At 36.2% G+C, this 22543-nt stretch overlaps 1 protein-coding gene across 4 annotated transcripts in view, besides 2 other annotated features; it reads right to left on the minus strand.

The window, feature by feature from the left end:
• TRPS1 (transcriptional repressor GATA binding 1) overlaps positions 202-22543 on the minus strand; it is a 260480-nt gene continuing 238138 nt past the window's right edge. For all 4 annotated transcript variants that reach the window (NM_001330599.2, NM_001282903.3, NM_014112.5 and 1 more), the window contains 2 exons: positions 10036-10158; positions 202-6790 (listed from right to left, as the gene is read on the minus strand). In NM_001330599.2, the coding sequence (NP_001317528.1) occupies positions 5729-6790; positions 10036-10158 (1185 nt within the window). In that variant the 3' untranslated portion in view covers positions 202-5728. The remainder of the gene's footprint in view (positions 6791-10035; positions 10159-22543) is intronic.
• Positions 10173-12005: an enhancer, noted in NCBI's record as "VISTA enhancer hs919". NCBI's record gives its function as "enhancer in: limb[10/10]" and the evidence as "EXISTENCE:transgenic organism evidence [ECO:0001131][PMID:17130149]".
• Positions 19555-19604: an enhancer, noted in NCBI's record as "active region_27820". NCBI's record gives its function as "activates an Ori minimal core promoter by ATAC-STARR-seq in GM12878 lymphoblastoid cells {active_cell/tissue: GM12878}" and the evidence as "EXISTENCE:reporter gene assay evidence [ECO:0000049][PMID:35858748]".

Here is a 22543-nt window from a genome sequence, read left to right on the forward strand (position 1 = left end):
TCCAGGCTTTATCAATATAAGTAATAATTTTTTAGAATGGTGATTTGATTTCACCATTTCAATTCAGCAGAGCCTGTATATATATATATATATATATATATATATATATATATATATATATATATATATATTACAATGATCTGTATTTCCTATTGCTAGAAGGATGAAAGTGAATCCATATAAACCATACCAACGCCGTTATGTGTAACTGGTGGTAAAACTTTATTATTCAAGTTTAGATGTAACAGACATCTTTGCTGCCTGAAGATTGTTTGCATAAGAAATACACCAAGAACATGTTTGTGAGTAGAAATGAACATGCACTATGAAAACAAAATAAAATAAAACGAAAAAATTTCATGTGTTGTAAGAACAGAACTATTATAGCCAACATTCTAGTATTCAAATCAGGACTACAAATTGAATTCTTTTTCTTAGCAACATGAAATCATTCCATATGAAAGACATTTTCTGCTGGTGAATATTGCTGTAAGTTAAATTTTACATTGGCATTTTGAGATGTTCCCCCCTCATGCCTCCCCCAAAGTTTTCCATGTGGTTGTCAAATAGTCCGCCCTAAGGAATTTGGCGTTTATTATTGTGATATTTGCCTTATTGGTAGCCATTAAGAAACTATGATTTTATCAGCCTAGTAATAGTTTTGCATCTTCATAGTCAACACTATTGGCTGCCTAGTTGATATTTACAGCTCGTCTTTAAGAAAAATGACCCCAACCTTTCCTGGCCTTTGGGAACTGACAGTTTAAATAACCCCCTTGGCCACATAATAATACTTGGCACTCCTATGGTGCCTTTCAACCAAGGATCTCAAAGTGCTTTACAAACAAGTACTACATTACCATTATTATTATTAATAATATTATTAATACATATATTTTTCAATTTTACAGCTGAGGAACCTGAGGCACAAAAAGAAAAAGTGATATGCTGCAGTTTATATGTTGGGAAAAAAAAAAAAAAAAAAAACAGGGGAAAACCAGAATTGAGTTTTGGGACTCTATGCTCTAGAAGGACAATTTTCTCTGATAAAAGCTAAACATTATTTCCACGGTAAAGTTATTCCTGCTTTTCTCCGGTGTAGGACAGAGTGAAGCTTACAGCTCTCCCTTTCCTTTCAAGAGAACACATGAATGTACATTGTCTAGTTTCTCACGTGTGGATTACTCTTGAATTTCACATTTTCTTCATGTGACATACTTGACATACTTCTGCCCTAGCATATTCCAGAAGTTCTAATTACTGCAATTAACTGGGATGCTTTCTAAGCAACTGCAGCACTATCAGGAACATGTGAGCCCACTGTCTATGAAACAGTACTGAAAAACCAAAAGGAAGTGCTCTGCAAAGAATCCATGCCTCTGCCCTTGGCCGTCTTTCTTTGGGAAAATAACAATGCCCTCCAAAGTCCCGACGGGCGTCCTTCTATCTTCTTCTCATTTGCAGTTGCCTGCTGATAGAATTCCACCTAACAGTACCTACCTTTGATTAGAATATTTAGTTTGATACTCAGGTTGCATTTCAATTCCTCAATTTTCTCTTGTGCCTTGGACAGTCAGCAAGCTTTCACCTTACTGGCTCACCAAAGACGACTTGATCTTTTTTTCTTTTTTTTTTTTTGCCATGGCTCTCAAACCAAAGACAGTAGCTAAAGTTGACCTCCTCTCAACTTAAGGCAAAAGGCTGGCATACAGCACAGAAGCAGACCACCAGCTTCTTTACTCCACATTTCCACCACTGGATGGCAGATATTCCCCCTCTAGAAATGCATTAATTTTATTTACTAAACAGGGCAGCAGTTCACAGGTCTCAAGACCGGTCACTTTGTGATGTTTTGCAGCCACACAACAGGAGGCTAATAATTATTTTAATAGCCATACTGAGACTCTTCAGTTTATTAAGAAAAATGTATTTCCTCAGGCATTTTAAAATATATATACATTTAATATTTTTGGAGCTGTATTTGCATTGGATCATAATAGATTATGTGCACATGTGCAATTATAAACATAATGTGCTACCACAGGCTTCAACAAAGAGCTGTTAAAGATACTTTTTTCCCTTCTCATTAATATTACCTTAGAAAAGAATCCCCATGCTTGTTTTATAAAAATCTACCTTCACTAAAACAGAACAGTTTAGAACAGAACATCACTATCTTAAAAGTTGATTAAAAAAAATCTCAATATGTCATGTAGAGAGAATTGGGCATACTCTTTTCCTTTTGAACTACAGAGTTATCAATTAGAGCTCTGTCCTTTTCTCATATACTTGGAGTCATGTAGTGTCTCTCTCAATCCACAACGTTCTGAGATGGGTTGGCTCTTTATGATTTTTCTATCCCAAACAACAGAATGAATACAGAGGTGAGTGATGAGAGAAAGAGTGAGAAAAGGAAGAATGAGAACGCATGAGCTGGTCCTGGCCTAAAGTTTGATCCAAAGCTCAATTTAGAATATAGACAAATAATTTTAAAATATTTTCAGTTTTTAAATGGCACACAATTTTAGCTGGCACATCATTTTCATCACAGGGGAAGCCTTTTCCAAGAGAGAAAATTCCTAAATCATCATGAAATTCCTCATTAAAAAAAGTTCCGTACCATAATAGCTCGTTTAAAATCACAATTTAAGATAAAATAATTCAGAAATCTTAAATTAAAAAAATAAATTTTATAATATATCTTGAGAGATGGAATAAAGGCTTTAATATGTCAAAAAAGGAGTGTTTAGTGTTATAATAAATTTTTGTCTCTTTCAAAAAAGCCCAACCTCTTCTCCACCAAAATATGTATAATAATGAAAGCAAAAAATGAAAATAAAATTATCAATAATAAAGAAGTATGGAATAAGATCTATCGTGTCAACGCTATCCAAAAATATTCTACTAAAAAGTAGACTGACCATAAATATTCCAAGAATAGTGATATGTATTTTCCAATGCTAGTCGTTACTACTATGTCTGTCTGAGAAAAAAAAAAAATTGAATGAAAATAAAAAGGCATACATGCCAAAAATAAAGAACCTATTTGTGTCCGACACACTAGAGAAATTGCTTAATGAGTAGTTTTGCCCAAAAAGTAATACTTGTCATATTGCCCAAGTTAACCAAACTTCTGGTGTTTTGCTGATTTAAGCAGTCCACATAGATAATGTTGCTTAAGGATTGCCACGATGCATTCTGTTATTCTTTTTACTAAGAAAATTAAATATTGTTGTTTGGGGGAATCTCCTCTCTTTTTTAGATCTTTAATTGTCACCTCTCAAGTCTGGCTATACATTTTGAGATGCATCCATCAAAATTCCTAAGGAAGATAAATTACATCACATAATTTGAATGTCAAAGCTCCTCATTCCACTTCTTTATTTCAGTTTATGTGAATATTAGAGCTACGCGACAGGTGAGATCAGAATAAGGCCCGTTAACAATGAAACTGAAGCAGAGGACTTAGTCCTGATTTCTGTCTCTTGCTTTCTCTTTTCTCTTTTTTTAATATGCAAACAAAAAAATGCAAAAATGAAAATGACAACACAACATCAGAAAGACATTTTTTTAACTTCATTCGCTACAACAGTCACGAACTGGTTGAACTCTACCTGCCATCCAACTTTAAGAAACGAAGACCCGGCACTGTGAAAAAGAAACAAAACCCAAACAAAACAATGATACAAAGCAACTGCGAATTAATGTAAAAATGGAGTGCAAATGCGACTACAGAATGCAAAAAAAAATCAGCGTTGCAGATTCCAGCAACACTTATCAAAATAATTTCTGAAATGTTTCATATGAAACATAGACAAAGCAATAAAAAGAGGATATATGTTTATCATCTTAAGCATAACAATGTGAGTTAAGAGCTTAAAAATTAAAAAAAAAAAAGTACTTGGAATGAATAAGTGCTACCCTTTTTTTCCTAAGTAGGCATAAAAATATTTTCATTTCCTTCTTGTTTTCCATACCATTATAGCAAGAACTTTCATTTGTTTCATGTTACCGTTTACAACTTTAATGCACACACACACACACAAAAGGATATCTACTGCAATAGAAATAGTTGCTTCATTACCTTGTTTGCTACATTTGCAAATGTAAACAGCTAGGCAGAGCCAGAACTGACTCTAATGCATGATGGAATATCTTTGTTGCATACGTACACTGTAGAAAATAATTATTCAATATGTCAGGCACCATTATTTGAAATGTAATACATTAATATTTACTAGAAAAATAAGTTTTTTTTTTCCTATTTGTTCTCCCAACTTCTTTAATGAAATAAGTTAATCTGACAGTGCATCCAGTAGCTTGTAATATCTTCTACATCTCCGTGGCAAAAAATAAACTACTGGTTGGGACAATATAATGCAAATTATTAAAGTCAGTCCTTGTACATACATCCTTGTAGCAAGCATTGAGGCTCGACTAACAGCACCTTTAACCAATTATTTAATGTTCAGTTATTTAGCCCTATTTCCCTGAGCAGTTATGCTGAGGAGCTTTCCCTTCATGGATAGTTTTTACAAAGCCTTAAGTATTAAAAGTTCTATGAGGACATACTTCTAAGAATCCTATTTAATGCTACTTAACTAAATCTGTATACATTTAATGAAGGGATTGGCTGGTACATATACCAACTGTCAGTCTGTGGTAACGTAACCTTAGACGCTGCCTGACCACAAAGTTTGGAAATTATATTTAACCAAAAGAAAATAAATAAATACAGCAGGTTACCTTGTGAAGAAATGCCATGTGTTCTAAACAAATTAAACCCACGGTCTGACATTTGTATCCATCTATGCTTTTGAATTGAGGGGATTCCTTTAGTTATAATGTGCCAAGTGAGATTAGTAACCAACAGGAGGCTTAGAAAAGCAAATCCATACTGGTTCATCACACACAAGAAAGAAATACCTGGCTAAAATGAAATCACTACAGAAGCATCGAGGACATTGTTTTTTAAAATGGGTACATGTGTGGACAAAATGAATCTAAACCGCAAACAAAAGGACTACTGAGTATTTGAACATCTAAAGGACAAAAATATCAGAGAGGGTGTGCATGTGTATGTACAGGCAGGGCTGGGTAAAAACAGCGTGCCACCATCTGTCATGTTGCTTGCTGCACTCTAACCAAGCCTAACCACAGCTCGCATTTCTAGGTCAAAATCTGAAACATGGCCAATGAGAGAAGACTAAATTGAGAGGGCGCCATTTTTCTTTCATTGCCCTGGACCTTCAATTTCTCCTCCTCTGCCTAGGGTTTCATGATCATTATAAATTTAGGCAACAATTTATGGGTTTTGGAACAAATGGTCCAATGGCCAGTCCAGTACTGCTTTAGTATAATAATATGTAAACCCTTTCAAATTCTAGACAGTTTTGGTCTCTTTCTTTATAAATATATTAATTCTAGTCTGGTGATATCTCTTATGGATTATTTCCCCAGTACATATTAGCCAAGATGGTTTTGACTTAACAGGTTTTAAAAAGTGATTGTTTACCATCTTCCATTCTTTCTCATTGACCATTTATCTCACTTTTTAATCTTGGTAACCTACTCATCAAAAGAAAGAATAACAAAAGAAGGGAATTTCATGTTGGATAAGGCAGGCTCTATGAAGTATTTTTTTAATAGGTCTTCATAAGACATTACAAGCTATTGAATTCCCATCAAGAAAACCTATTTCTATTTAATTGTGCTAAGTGCTAAGGTTTTACTCTTTAGGTTTTCCATTTTTTTCCACTTGTGCATTGTTCCTATGCAGGCCCCTCTGGATATGTGTTGTGAAGTCATATTTGTCCGTGCAAAGATGCTGGCATATGCTGCACTGGAAAGGTCCACTGTCACCATGGCAACTCATATGCAAAGCATACATCACTTCATCCAGAAAGACAATGCCACAGTGCACACATTTTGTTGAAAGTTCATCTTGAGTACTTCTATCAACTTTCTCTGTTTTTACTACATTCAAGGGACCTTCATTTTTTACATTTGGTGGTGCCTTCGTTTTCTCCTTGGAGGCACCGTTTGCAGTTGGCCCAGGTCTGGAATGCTTGATCGCCAAATCTAGAGGAATGTCATTGTCTGATCCAACAGCTGAAAAATGAGGAGGCAGATTGAAGGTGGGATAAGGCACATAGTTTTGGCAAGGATTTGGTAGGCCAGGCACGTGACTCAAGTAGTGCGGATTCCCAGGAACGGAGAGCTTATATTTACTCCAGAACCGCAGCCAATCAGCTTCACTCTGGAAGTCATTATGTACAAAGGGAAGTCCAAAAAGTGGGTACTGGTACTTTTCAATAGGGCTGCCTGGTGGTGAATAATTTGGGTGTTTCGCAGGTCTCATGTACTTTTCTATAGGACTGCCTCTCTCAGAACTTCCTTTCCCTTCAGATACGGATGAACTATTTCCTGGATCTCCAGTACTTTCCTGAGGACTTTTTATCTGAATGTGCAAAGGTTGCATCCTTTTGTGAATATCCAGAGTTTGGCTGACCAGGACTGGCTGCTGAGCAGAATGGCTTTTAGTCAATGAACCCTGGGCTTCGTATTTACTTAGGCTGGGGAGTGGAATTTCTCTCTGGTGACTTTCAGTTAGATGATCTTCTGACCTCCTCTCTAACGGGCTTCCATTGACTTGCTCCTCATTGCTGCCCCTCTGCTGTTTGTTGAGCTGCTCAGCCTGAAGTGCCTCTGGGTTAAGGCGCTTTCTTGTTCTCCTCCTAATAATCTGCTCACCGTTGTTTTGTTTAATGATGTTTAAAGGCCTGGGAGTCTGCAGAGAACACATACAATACATAAAAGGAAAACATTAAAAAATACATTAAAATGCATTAAAAATTCCTCACAAATATAAACCATGCTTAAGTTCAAAGCAGGGATAGGCTTTCTGCTGTAGATTTACTAAATCTCCTCCTTTTGCCCTAAGCAGGATCAGAGGAAGTAACCAAAGTGCACTATTTTAGCCTAATTAAATCATGTCCATCTTTGCAGGGGGGACTGAAAACTTTAATCTACTTGAAAATAACCTTTCCAGATGCAACAGATTTTGAGATTGCATCATTTAGTGATGAAACGGTGTAGAAAGTCACTTGAAGAGATGTGATTTTTCTGAAATTTTTTTTCAATTTTTGAGTTGTGCACTAAAATGCCAGCATATAAGAGTAACACAGGAGATACATATTGTTAACAGTGGAAAAATTACACATTGCTACAGACAGAATAAGTTTATATGTTGAAGCCCTAAACCACAGTGTGACTGTGTCTGGAGACAGGGTCCTTAGTAGGAAATTAAAGTTAAATGAGGTTGTTAAGGGTGGGGCCCTAATCCAATGGGGCTGTGGCCTTATGAGAAGAGGAAGAGAAAGAGATCTCTCTCCACTATGTGAGGGCACAGATAGAAGGTGGCTTAGTAAGGAAGACAGCCCTCCTCAGAATCCAACTATGCTGGAACCTGATCTCAGATTTCTAGCCTTCAGAATGTGAAAACATAAATGTCGGCTGTTTAAAGCTGCTCAGTTTATGGTATTTTGTTATGGAAACCTAAGCAACAAATACATGCGTGCTTCTAAATAATTGCAAATGTGGATATAAAATATTAATATCAGAGCATAAATAATCAAAGATAAACTGACAGAATTGTGAGGAAAGATATCAGGTCATCAAAGCAATAGAGAGGGATTTTTTTTTTCTTCTCATTTCTACTTCTCTCTCATTAATAATATTTTATATTTGTGATCTAAGATTTTACTTGTTAATAGTGAAGCATTAGTTTTGTGTTGAAAATCTAAATTCATGTGTAGCTTTGGTTTAAATATCTGATCTGTCATTCTACTCTTTACTTAAAGTAAGTGCTAACTTTCATTCAGCTTAAGTATTTTGTTTAGCTTAAACGTTACATGATTGGTATTTATGGACATGTTCAACAGGTATTTATATAATATGACTTAAATCCATGGATAAGACTATAATAAAAACTTTACTTGCAGTTGGAGCTCTTTGATGTATAAAATCAAAGGAATCAGTTTGATAAATTAATGCGTATTTATAGGTTAAAAATTTAGGGTAATCTTTAAATGGGCTAAAGTCTGATTTTTCTAAAAGATTACTGAAATCAGAAAATAATTTCCACATAAAACATGACTATAAATATAATTTATAAATTTAACTTTATAAATTATACATTATGTGTATATAATGTATAATTTTATAAATTATAAAATTTTAAATATAAACATAAATATTCATAAACATGTTATAATAATATAAATATAATATAAATTTAAAAAAACATAAATATAAGTGTAATTTGTAAATTATTCCTAGAAGTGATACACTTGAATGAAAGGGAGTACCTCTTGTATCTTAAATAAGTACAACTATAAATCCTTTTTGGAACATTTCTGTTGTTACAAACATACTTCCAAGTGAAGAAAGATAACACAGTTGTTATTGACAATTCATTGTTAGTTTAAGAAAGAAAATGCAACATAGCTTAGTTATGCCATGTGCATTTCTTTTGCTCAGAATATCCAGGTTTACAAAGAGTTCATATTAGCATTATAAACATATGCATTATTTAATCTATACACTGTAAAGAACCTGAAATTTGCATAAATTCCTTTTTTAAACTGTCATAACTTTTGTGTCAGTTTTTGACACAAAATGTGAACATAACCTTTATGTATTTCAATGTATGGTTTTTTAAAAAACCTGAAAACTGAAAACATCTTACCTCTGGAGAGATGAATATTAAAATAATTTTTAGAAAATAGTTTAGTTTATATCTCAGTGGTTAAGTTCCCATAATCTGGCAGAGCAGTATTTTAATTAATTTTTGCCCTATGATTGGCCAGACTTCAATTAAAATCATTAATGTCAGTTCCCATTAAATAGAAACTTATTGCTATGCTTAAATGGTGAAGGTTAAAAAAAATAAGTTGGTATGTGGTGGGGGGTGGAATCTTTCTACTTGCTACATGCTAATAACTAAGGTTTTTACAGTTTACTGCCAATTAGTAGTGTTAGCAGCATGCATTTTTTAAAGAGTGCTTCTAATGGTCCATATATGAGAACATTTTGTCTAAAAGTGTATTCCCTGTAGCCATAATGTATTCACTGGCTTGTGCTAAGAGCTATGGTAAAACGCCAAACGAAATGAAAAAGGCACAGGGAAATAAATTTTTGTTTACTAAATGGGGGATGCCTATTTTAAAGTCAGCTCTTGTCAGCAGATGAACTTGCTAAACTAAAAAAAAAAATCCTTCAGTAAGTCAAATCCATATTCAGATGGAGGATTTGTGAGTTTTAATTTTATTACAGAATTCTAACTAAAATTTGAGGAAAAGTAATTCAAAGAACCTCCGTGAGCCAAAGCCAGCTGGAGATCTTAAAAGACAAAGTATCTTTGCACCTTACTCTACCCTGGTGTGTGTGCTATTCAGAACTTCAGATACCTCATTGAAATACCCACTGAAGGCCCTGGGGAGATTCATGTGATATTCTCTGATCCTAATTCAGTTCAGAACTGTCCTTCCGAATGTGCCCCTCCAGCCCCTAAAGCGGTCAAGATAACACTTGTGAATTCCGAAGGTAAACTAGAAAACACGAATTCTTTCCCTGACTTATATTTTATACTGAACATGACCGAGTCCTTTTTCATTTTTTAAAACGTTTTGCATATTTCTGAAACTTCTAAAAATTTTCTCCTTTTTACCTAAAATAATTTCATTGAATTCTGATAACCATTAGTTCAACTATCTGCTGTGAAGTTCCCAGAAATCAATCATTTTCCTCTTTTATATCAAAAGAAGCATAATGCATTACTAATGACCTCAAACCTATCTCCCCATCACATCTAAGCCCCCTTCACCATAAATCACATGTGCACTCAAAGTGACTGTATTAAAACAACCCTGCGGGGGCAGGCACTGCAAGCCAGGGAATGGGACTTATCACACCACAGACCAGGCCAACACTGCTTTATAAAGCTTTTCCTGAAAGAGTGGAACAAGTTCTTACCGAGTGAAGCTTCTGGTAGAGGCCACACGCGTTGCATACATATCCGCCATTTGCATTCTTTCGCCAGAGAGAGGTCTTTGTGGTCAGGCAATTGGCACAAAAAACACCGGAGCCTCTACGCCTCTGAAACAGGGGAAAAAAACCAAGGTCAGAGGTGAGTCACATGATCAGTGGAGTTAGACCAAATCAACCCAGGAGTTTTGTCTTTAAACTAGCAACAATGACAGTATAAAACCACACTGCCCATAATGAGGTCAGGTTCAATTGTGTTTAATAGGCACCACTGATTTTCATTATAATTAACCCTACAGTGATGGATGAGGTGTGTGGAACACCAAAGGCTTTTCACAGAAACAGCTTTAACTTTTTGAACTTTGGGTTTTATGGCTTTAATGATGGCTCCTAAATGCTGAACCCTAAAATATACCTTTTAAAAGTGTCAAAACATACGTCAAAAAGACAGAACATGGCAATATGTTTAATACACTTTGGAAAGGAGGAGCACATGCTACCTGAGCTTTAAAATATAGTCAAGTTTGGAATAAATGTAAATCATTTAAAATTAAACTTGATTTGTGTGTTTTTGTATGTCATTCATGTAACGTAAGTATTACGAGAATATAAGACACTCAATTCTGGTCTTTCGTTTGCAATTGTAAAATCTGAAAGATTCCTCTATTCCTCAAACGTGAGAGGGTTTGTAGAAACTTCAGCCAATTAAAAGTACAGTATTACTAATGAGAACCCTTATGAGGTGCCCACTTAAGTTAGGCAACATAGACCCTTCAATGGCTATTTATTTATTTTATTTGACTTAGACTTGGAAATCACAAGGGTTTCCAAATACAAATTGATTCTAGTGGCCTGAGTTTTGTAATCAACAGGTTAAAAATAACCTAAGAATATTTAAAACTAGATAATTAGTATTGCTTGTTCCATTCTTGCTATCAAGTAATGATTCCATTAAACTTCTCACTTAAACAAAAGTCAGGCTGTGTTTGTAGGCACAAATACTAACAGGCAGGAAATGGAATTCTCTTGCTGAAAAAAAAAAAGAAAAAAAAAGACAGCCTGAATTGCAGTTCAGCTCTCCTTTCTCTAGGAAGCAAAGCCTTTAATGATAAAATATGCGTGTTAGATAAGGAGTGGAAAAAGTCTTGCTGGAACCTAATTTTATTATAAATTAAATATTACATGTGCCATAAGTCAAAATTTCAGGGATTCATAAAATTTAGGCAATTTATTTAACTCAAGTCCATACTGTAGAAGAGTGGTATCCCTGCCAAGAAAATACAATGGTTATAATTGTACTCTGATACATTTCAAATGGAAAGCTTTCTGCAGACATAATTTTGGCTTCAAGACTGGAACACTTTCTTGGCATTGAAAGGGCATTTGATTCATCGGGTGTTTCACAATGTATCACTAAAAAGACCTGGTGAGCAGCCAGTTCCCTATAGGGTAATTTTTCCATCCAGATGCAAGTGCTATCAGAGGCTCTCGTCAGCTAAACTAATTATGATCTTGCAATTGCTGATGCCTGCTCACTCTAACATTCGACATCCTCCATTAATCATCAATACAAGGAAAATGAATGAAACGTAAAGAAATGAGGGCTGGTAAGCTGCACAGCCATAAAAATCTGAAATGAGAGCAATAACTTAACAAGATTGGGGGAATGTTTTTAGTGAGCACAAAGTCAGGCTAACAATTGCCCTTTTAAACCAAGAACACGATTTCATTAGTGTAGCAGGTTGTGCTACTTTAGGTGATGTAATAAAAACTAGATTTCCAAAGATAATCTCTGGCTCCCCTTTTTCTACTTCCCCCCACCCGACTCTGGACCAGGAATGTATCATGAGTTTCTAAGTCTCAATAACATTGCAATAGCAAATGTTGGGTGTCAGTCTGCAAGTCCCAGTGAAGGCCTACTGCAAAAGTGGACTGCTGCTTCCCCCAAAATCAATGAACTATTAGAAGTTGTGTTTATCAAACATTTTGGGGACTCCCTTTGTGCAAAGTAAGCTGGGAGCCTAGTTAAGTTATAATTGTGAAACTTTCCTGGGGCTATCCTGTCATTTTCCTAGATCTAAATAACATGTTTGCAAATAAACACCAACTTGGTCCACACAAGGGCAATGTAAATGTCCATTTGGAAATTAACCCACATATATGGCTGAGGCTCAAATGTGAATGTGTAACCATTCACTCCAGCCTGCTGTTCTTTCCTTATGCCCTGGGTGCTTGACACACCATGCCAAAGTGGGTGTAATCCTGATTTCAGTGAGTGTTTCAACCCTTGCACAATTTGGTGCTTAATTCTCTTGCAAAGAAAATGCCTTTCATTAGTTAGAGGGAAAATCCTGAAATTACAGCACTAGTTTCCAAAAGCATAGCTTGCTTTAAAAGGAGCACTTAGACTCCAATATAGTTTGCTATATTTTAGGTAAACCATATCACATTTTAAATATATCAGGAGTACTTTGAATACACTTATTCAGAGTCAGTAGAGCTTGGAGGTTAATAATCAGATTTAGGTGCCAGAACACTGATATTCAAAACCTGTCTCTGTCATTTGCCAGGTACAACACTGGGCAAGTCACTTAATCTTTCAATGCTTAAAGTTCTCTGATCTTTACAGTGTGAGCTACTGTGATTCTTTTTTTTTTTTTTTTGAGACAGAGTCTCACTCACCCAGGCTGGAGTGCAATGGCACACGATCTTGGCTCACTGCAACCTCCACCTCCCGGGTTCAAGCAATTCTCCTGCCTCAGCCTCCCGAGTAGCTGGGATTACAGGCATGCGCCACCATGACCGGCTAATTTTCTATTTTTTAGTAGAGATGGGGTTTCTCTGTGTTGGTCAGGCTGGTCTCAAACTCCCAATCTCAAGTGATCTGCCCGCCTCGGCCTCCCAAAGTGCTGGGATTACAGGCATAAGCCACCATGCCCCGCTACTGTGATTCTTATGTAGATTAATAGATGCAATTAAAACGGTGCCAGGGATGTAGTAAGTGCTCAAATCCTATTTGCCAAGAGGATTCAACTGTGATTTCTTTTGTATGAGAAAAATATTTTGTTAGTTTTCAGCCCTTGAATCTTGTTATTGAATATTTGAGAGATGCTTAAAGCATATGGTTGGATATTGTTCAATGTGTTTCTTTCATACCAATCTTATCAAATATGAGAATGGAAAGTTGAGTCAGAGTGAAATATCTAGGTGTTCGCACCTAGAATTCAATAGGAGCAAGCTTGCATGGGGGTGGAGAGTGGGAGGTAGGTGAGAAATTCTTTCACACATGAAGTTACCTCCCATCTAAACAAATTTAGTACTTTGGTAAGCCTAGTCGAACCTTATTTTTGGTGCAATTAAAATTTCTGGAAGTAGCAGAGAAGGTGGGAGAAGTGGGTAGTGTCCTGAGCTGTGTCACTACAGAACCACATCTTTCTAAAACACCATACAGATGCGAGCCCTGACCTGGTCACACTGTGTACAATGTAACCTGGCAGGACACAGTAAGGGATTTCCTTTGAAGTTATCAACATCCTTAGCCCAATCAAGGACAGGGAAGCAGCCTGTTACCAAAGGAACGCAGAGTAGAAGCCTCCTGTGCCCTATTTTCAAAAACAAAGCTTGGCTTTAACTTAAAGAAAAAGAAAAGCACTAACGATCTTATTTCATTCATACTTTATCCTGCATGGCAGTTTTAAAATACTTTGTCACTCTCCTTTGCAGTAAGCCTATTAAGGACAGAAATCCTGTTTCCTAATCGTCACTGAACATTCTAAGGAATAAGCACCTAGGACAGTGCTCTGTTAGGCTAAACATTAAGAAAGTTGAAAATAATCCTGCCTGCTATTTCTATCGTTATTTTTAGAAAAAAAAAATATTTTAGGAAAAAAAGTAGTGTTTGTTTTCTTAAAATCCCTTTTAAATGTCGTCCATTCAGGCTGACAAATTAATCTGGAGTTGGGCAGAGATGGTTGATGATATAGAAGACACATTCAAGAAAATTCATTGTCCACTCCTACTTTCCACACTTTTTTTTTTTTTTTGAGATGGAGCGTTGCTCTGTTGCCCAGGCTGGAGGGCAGTGGCGCGATCTCGGCCCACTGCCACCTCCGCCTCCCGGGTTCAAGTGATTCTCTTGTCTCAGCTTCCAGAGTAGCTGGGATTACAGACGCCCGCCACCATGCCTGGCTAATTCTTGTATTTTTAGTGGGGTCGGGTTTCACCACGTTGACCAGCCTGGTCTCCAACTCCTGACCTCAGGTGATCCACCGGCCTCTGCCTCCCAAAGTGCTGGGATTACAGGTGTGAGCCACCGCACCCAGCCCCACATGTATTTTTGAGAAGGAGCTGATGCCAGGTACTTGCTAAGTGCTGGGGGCAGCTCTCTTTTATCTTTAACATTACAGTCACAAATTGCTGATGGTTCTATCTGTGTCTGTTTATGTTTAAATAATAAATTTCTCCTTTTCCCACAAGCTGTCTTAAGAGACAATAATTTGTACCTCCATCACCTCGTGCCTGAGAGGGAAGAATTATGGGTCATATGGATAAGATCAGTGCTGGGAGGGAAAAAGGATAGGAATAAGTAGCTAGCCGATAACACCAATTGGCATTCCTGAGGGGCATATATAGCACAAAACTTTCTCTCCTCTCAGACTGAGGGAAGACTGCTCACTCACACATGTAAAGCCGCAAAGAGTAGCTGCAATCTCTGCCCCTGAACTTCTCTAAGTTCACCTTCCACATCTACGTGGTTTGAACAGAGGGCAAGAGTGAAGGAGGATTGGCTGAAAACCCAAAGCTACATGAGGCAGCTCAACTAAAAATTGCTACAGAAAAAATTCTGGAATCAACAATTCGAGAAAATGATTGTTTGCTTTTCTTTTAATGCTTTGAGCAGTACAATTTAGGTTGCATTTGTGTTGTCTCCAGGCCATTTCCGTTGGCTGGTAATTTCCTATGTGAAAAAGGATGAATAATGGTACAAACAGTTAACTGCAAGGAGTTTCGAAGCCAGTGATTGCCTGGCAAATGCTTTTCAGTGATAACTGGCCTGTCTTTTGAGCACTTGATCCCTTTCGGTATTTCAAATATTATAGCCACAATACTGATTTTCACAGCAGCAATGTAGGTGATGGATCTGAACAATCATCCAAATAGATATAGAAAATGACATACCTAACTTTTAATATGAATACCCTTTAAATCCAGTGTAATTTTTTCCTCCCCTTTAGAGTAAACCAATAAGTATAATGACTAAGTATTTAAAACAAACAAACAAACAAACAAAACACAACACCTTTTGTCTTTAGGTTCACGGCTAACACCAACATGCGGGTAACAATAGTTGAAATTTTCTCTAAGTTTCCAATTTAAGTTTTGCTTTTGGGAGACTTAAATCTTCAGTCAGCTATATAACATTGATAAATAGCTGAGCCTTGGCATACATGTTAGGAAACCCAGATATGACTTAAGACATTTTTTTTTAAATTTTAAATTGGGTCGGCTGTTTTTATTCCTTATTTTATTTTATTATTTGAAGACCAGCCAAATATAAAAATTTTAAGGTTTCCAAATCTCCAAATTTTGAAAAGGAACTGATTTCATCTGATTAATATGAAGTAAATTTGATTGAATGATTTATTAAAGTGGCTTAACATTTACAGACATGGATATTCATCTTCAAGATATTAAAGGTTTCCATTGGTGAAGGAATTTGTGAAGAAATGATCTTTTACAATAATTTTCTATGAATAAGAACCATACTGAAACCATGTAATTACATAACAAGCCCTGATAGGCAGAATATTTACTCACATTTTTTATGGTTTTATATCTTAGCCATTTTAAATCGAATCAATCTGAAATCTGATTTATATAATGTTAGTATGAATATACCTCAAATATTTTTAACTCTTTAAATATTTTCTGTGTTTATCTGATTATATCAAAAAGTCTTTGCAACATTCATGTTAGCGAAATGCATAGATGGTTATGAGCAAAGCTTCTGGTACGATTTCACAGTAATACAATTTCAGTGGTAAATTAAGTCAATTAAGTTCTGGGAGTAATTATTGCGTGTCCACCATGTGCCTGGCACTGTGCTACAAGCCAGGGTCACAGCGTGAGACAAACATGGTCTGTAATCTTGCAGATTTTCCAGTGGAATCTTCTAAAAACATACTAATTATGGAGCTAAAGCAACACAAACAGAAATTGTTCATGAACATTGACAGCTGAAATCATGTGAATTACGTGGAAACTTTCCTGAAGATACCAAAGTATTGCCCATTCATAAATCTCATTTAGAGGCTAAAAGTTACCTAATAATCAGAGGGGTTACTTCCTGTGCTCCTTTGTAAAAACGTGTAACAGTTTAAGTCACTTCAGAAACAAATTAATACTTGCTTATTTTCACATTAGTAATAATGTCCTATCAATCACATTGTTCTATTAATTACCAATAGAGTTGACATGACTTAATGTGTTCATGACTGTCAGATATGTAGTTGATATTCAATAATTGTTGATATTCCATAATTCAATAAGTGTTGAATATTATTTTATTCTTATCTCTATCATGCGCCACTAGGAGACATCGAAGGCCATGTCCCTCCCCTCTTCCCCTCCAAAATAGAATTAACCAGCTGTTGACTACACACCAGTAGACCCTATGGAATATACTGAATTCAGGAGCTAAAACAACTTAAAAATAGATGGTGGTTTGCAATAAACACCTTTAGATTAATAGCCAGACTCTTACCAGGAGCACAGGCTGGCCAACAATTGAACAAGACCAGGGAAAGCACTCTGCCAACAGAAAGCAATAGTTTACCAATATCCTGGCCAACTTTTGTTTCAAATAAAATTGTGAAGAATCCGTTGAAATGGGCTGTACTGCATGTCTTTGCCTGCTTTAAAACAGTCCTCTTTGCCCTCAGATTTCTTGCCAAAAAACTGAAGGGACTCTATCAGGTTCAGCCAAGCACCCATCTTATAATCACCATAGAGCTTGGAAACAAAACCTGTTTACCCTGCTTATTAAATTCACTTCCTCAACACATCAGCAATGATAATGGAGACCAGTGTAAACTAAACTGGCATCTCTGGCTAAGAGCAATAGAACAGTTTTTGTTCCAGGACATGAGGCAATACATACTCCAGTAATCATACCTTGCACTGAGATATGAATGCACCTAAGACTTATCCCACTGACAATGTCGCCACATAGGGAGCTACCCGATATATCAGGTAATGCTGCTGTGCTAAACACATTAGCTCCATCTCTTCTGAGATGTAACTGGTGATTCTCAGAGTGAAAGAGCAGAAAATCACTATTTCCCCATGTATATCCCACTCTTTATTCATACAGATTCTTTACATCTCAAGGTTTTAGAAATTTATCACACAGATATAAAACCTATTACACAGATCTGAGGACCCCATCTCCCTTCTTTAACTAACCCCATATTTGGTAGCTAACCCTGTATTTGGTAAAGGAGCAAACCAAACACCCTGTGTCATAATGAAATTACATAATAGAATCAGAATTGGAAAAACCCAGATTTCTGGAGTTCTAACCACGCTGTTTCTGTAATAATGTTCTGCCTTTACAGCAAATATGCATTTGGACAGCTAAAAATATGGTTGAAAATTTATGTCTGCACTGTCTTTTTTTTCATTCCACGTGAAAGTCATTATTGTTAAAAGAACTACTCAAGTCTCTCAGAGCTTCTATTTTTGCCATCCTGTATGTGTTTTCACCCTTCCTTCAGCTACAACAATGGCTGGAAAGTAGCTCTATGGGGACTTTCTTCTATGCCAGTGCCAAAATCTGACACTGGAAGGAAAAAAATACTAAAAGGCCTTTTGGAGGCACAGTTAAACAATTTTAGCACCTCTTAAACTTCAGTGTGACAGCACAAGAGTTGATTCTTCTAATAAATTTGTTGCATATTTTATTTATATAATATATTTAATAAGCAGATTTATTCTGGGATAGGTTCATATTCTAAAAATAAAAATATCAGCGATGAAGACCTTTCTAGAAAAGTCCTAAAAGCCAAAAGTCTCAGCTTCTAGGCATTTAATTAGAGAGTCAGATACAGTTATTAATATTTCATGTATTACACCTTTTTAGGGCTGCCTTTATAATATATAATGGTTATTTTGGGAAAAAACAGAAAAAAAATCAATAATTCTTTTCATAGTATCTAACATAATAACTGGTTTATGAAGTGTTGCCACCCTCGAGGCAGCTATATACAATTCAGTGGTTCCTCGATGGTTTCTCACACTCTTGGGGATCATACAATCTTTTGGTGAAATGTATGACACTCTCCAGAAAAAAATAAAGTGTAAAATATTTACAAATAACTTTAACATGGTCAAAAGCATGTCCCTCACAAAATGTATCCAAAGATTTCCTGTGGATTTGAGTGCCGACTGATCCAGATCCCAAGGTTAAGAACTCCTAACACATATTATCCCAGTTCAGATTTACGGTGAATTACTAATTACTATTACTCTCCTTTTATTGATGAAGTACAAAACTGACAATAGTTCTTTGACTTATCTAGCATCAAAGAACACATTCTGGTCTCTAAGTCTAGGCAATATGACAGGATCATATTCTAAAAAGCATTTTTGGCCAGGCGTGGTAGCTCATGCCTGTAATCCCAGTGCTTTGGGAGGTCAAGGTGGGAGGATTGCTTGAGGCTAGGAGCTTGAGATCAACCAAGGCAAACACAGCAAGAACGTGTCTCTACAAAAAGTTAAAAAAAAAATTAGTTGGGTGTGGTGGTATGCATCTATAATCTGAGCTACTCTGGAGGCTGAGGAGAGAGGATGGTTTGAGCCCAGGGGTTCTAGACTGTAGTGAGCTATAATCATGTCACTGTACTCCAGCCTGGGCAACAGAGCGAGACACTGTCTCTAAAATAGATAAATAGAAAATTAATTAAATAAAAAAGAATTTTTGAATCAACTATTTAATAGAATACTCTTGTTTGACTATCTTTGTCCCTTTTTAAATAATCATCATTGCACATATGTTTGCAGGATAACATATGATAGGCCTAGTCTCATTATCTGATATCCTCAGAATGATCCTAAGAGGCAAGTATTATTATCATTATTATTATTATTCCCTCCACTTTATAGATGAGAAAACTGAGGCTTAGAAGCAATTTGCAACTGCTGAATAGTAGGGCTAAGATATAAACCCAGGTTGCCCTCACTTCAAAGCCACAGTGAACCATGTTTCAGGCCTTATTACTAAAGAGGAGATTGGGGAATTTTTACCAAAAATATTACACCATATCCTGGCCTTAAAGAACGCTTATCTCTTCAAACCACCCAATAACAGCTGATTGAAATTATGCAAGTTTTGAGGTACCAGAAAGAAATGAGTCATCCTTCATCAGATATGGCAACGAGCTGTTTTGAGGTCGACAGACACAGTCATAGCCAGAGGAACAGAGCACTTGGCTGATGGAGGGGGCAGTGCTGGGGAGGGGGGAGGGGTGCAGTACATGTGTTTTGATCCTGCTGTGTCAAAAAAAATAAAAAAAGTATGTGAAACAGGCCGCTGCTTAAAAGCAGAAGTTGGTGACACCACTGACTTAGCCTCTCATAGCGCCTGCTACATGGGAGGTTAGCTGTGAATGAAAGTCTCTCTTTGCTTTTGCAGAAGACTTGGCTAGAGTTGGGGCAAGAAAAATGGTGCTGGGGTTTTGACATGCTCTGTAAACACACATGTTCAGGTAACAATTTACTAGATTTCTTTTATATATGTGTATGTTCCAAGGCAGAGACCTTTTGTGATATTTGGTATCATTTTTATTCAAGATAAATTACTGGCAGTTCTGAAAGGTGAGGTTATTTTACCAAATTCCTCAAGAATCAGATAATATAAAAATATTTTAAATAATGTCTGCTTAAAAACTCCCCCACTATTATATATAAAACTTCATGTTCTTCATCTATCTATGAAGCTTACTATTATACTTCTCATATGTGATATACTTTTGCATTTCATCACAGAAGAGTAATGACAAAAATACTCCTAACTCTAAACATTTTTTATAGGCTATCCAATTGAGAGTATTCAGTACAAGTCAGATGTTAAAACGCAGCCTTGAGTCTGCTCAGCAGAAAGATGGCAACCACTGCTTATTTTAATGTAAACAACAAAAACATACGGGAATACATGAGTTAAATATACAGAGGTTCAAAACAGTTAAAAGAGTTAATGACAAACTATGAATGTGTCCACAAAAAGAGCCTGACACCAAATATGCAATTTGGATTAAATACTTCACAGACTATCTCGGGAATACCTCTGGGACCACGCAATTCTGTCTGACTTTTAGAAACACGGGGAATGGGGCAGTGGGAGACTAAAAAAAAATGAACCTGAATTTCATTTATTTTTGACACTATAAATCATTAAAAATATTCTCTCTCATTTAATTCAATTTTGTATGTCCTCAGGACGGGTAAAATCATAGGTATTTACGGACACCTTTCCAATGATTAAAACAAGCACTTAATGTTATGTCATTATTCAAATGAAAGATTTGTCTTTAAATAAGAGCTCTGTGACCACTATTGGTGAAACCGACCATGAGCAGATAATTTCATGATAGAGGTACTGTGCAGGCAGGGAAACTGAGCTGATTTCTAAAGTTTTAATAACATGATTTTTAAAAGACGAAGTGGAATTATGAATTTCCTTAACAATAATGATGTAATTTTGTAATAACTGAAATCTTTCACGGGAAAACTACCTCTTCAATAACTCACCCAGTCAATTACACAGGAAAGTCCTATAATAGGCTGTCCCTACTCCCTGCCCCGTCAAATAGCTCACGTACACGACTTCCTTTTCAATTACCAACTTGTCTGCAGTACCATCTGTAAAAACGAACACATACCTTATGCTGCCAGTTTTTGCTTTTGCACGTCCATTAGTGGGACTGGCTGCAGCTGCTCAAGAAGAAAGCAGTGATTGTCTTTGTTATGTATACATACGTAAAAATTCTCTCTTCAGTACCACCAGATTAGCTCAAGGTAATACATTGTCTTGGGTAGGAAACTGCACTCATACGAGCCTTACTCGCACCCGGCTCTCTCTGTGATCTGGAGTTTATTAATCACACTATATCGCATACCAAAGTAAGAACTACCTCATCGCATCAAGCATTCTGGAGAGTGCCCCTCAGTCATCCGTACCAAAAGGAACAGTTAAAGCTGTTTCTCACTTTGACATTTTGTACATCGAGCAGAATATCAGGAAACCAAAACCGAGACCTGGCAGCCCAACTTGAGACACAAAACTCCTGGTGAGTGAGATTTTATTTCATGAGAAGGGCTCTGAAAATATAACACTAACTTTTCAACAACTTTATTTTCCCCTGCCTTATGTTTATATTCTTTTTCTGTTGGCATTATTTTTCCTCTAGATGAACACACTGAATTGGTCACACAATCTCGGCAAAAGACGTAAATAAATTATAGCAAGAAATTACCCACAATTATTTTTTAAAGTGATCTGTGTTAAAGAAATGTCATTTCTCCCTATTGTGAAGTAATATAGATTTTTTAAAGGAAAAGAAAAAAATTACCAAGCTCTTAAAGATATTTTGAAAAAGGATTCATAGTGTAGCTGAAATTTAAAACACATACAAAAAATGAAAAGCAAACAAAAATGCTTAGTTGTGACTTACCCTTTGCTATTTCACATTTACAAATTTACCCCAAATGTATCAAAACTACTCTTCATCATAAGAGGAACTTTGTGACAAGGTACAAACTTAACTGTTGGAGCATTCGAATGTTAGTTTTGCCTCGGCTTTTCATATCTTGAATTGTCTTAAATCACAAAATAGTCCTACTTTCTCTGTATAGGTATAGGAGACAGACTGCTGGATTCCAATTATTTTCATGTGCAAGTCACACAGGGGAAAGGAGGCTCTTGAAGAAGGACCTACTTTTTCCTTTAATCTTTATATTATCAGTGCTTTGCATATAGTGGGCATTTAATTAGTGATAGCTTAATTGAATTGACCTCTAGCAGAAGAGATGCTACTGCCACTTTGGAGTGTGTGTGTGTGTGTGTGTGTACACATACAAGCATTATGCTTTAAGCATACCTTTATTCATGAAATATGAAGGACAGCCATTGTTACAGAAACTAGAACTTAGATTGAAAACAGTTTCACTTTTGTGAAATGCAAAAGAAAATTAATAAATTCTGGGCCATGTTTAGGCCCAGGAGAGGAGAGGAAAGGAACAGTCCCTGCTTGTCTGAGCTAATGAGCAATTTGCAAAATGTGTAGAAATGGCATACGTTGGTTATGTATATACATGTACATACAAACATATATACATACATACACTCACGTAAATGAATGGAATCATTTTCAGCACTACCATGTAGTGAGACATCACTAGTTGTCTTTATTTTCATTAAAGCAATATCATATTTTATAAG

The sequence above is a fragment of the Homo sapiens genome, chromosome 8 (assembly GCF_000001405.40).
Source record: "Homo sapiens chromosome 8, GRCh38.p14 Primary Assembly".
Taxonomy (NCBI): domain Eukaryota; kingdom Metazoa; phylum Chordata; class Mammalia; order Primates; family Hominidae; genus Homo; species Homo sapiens.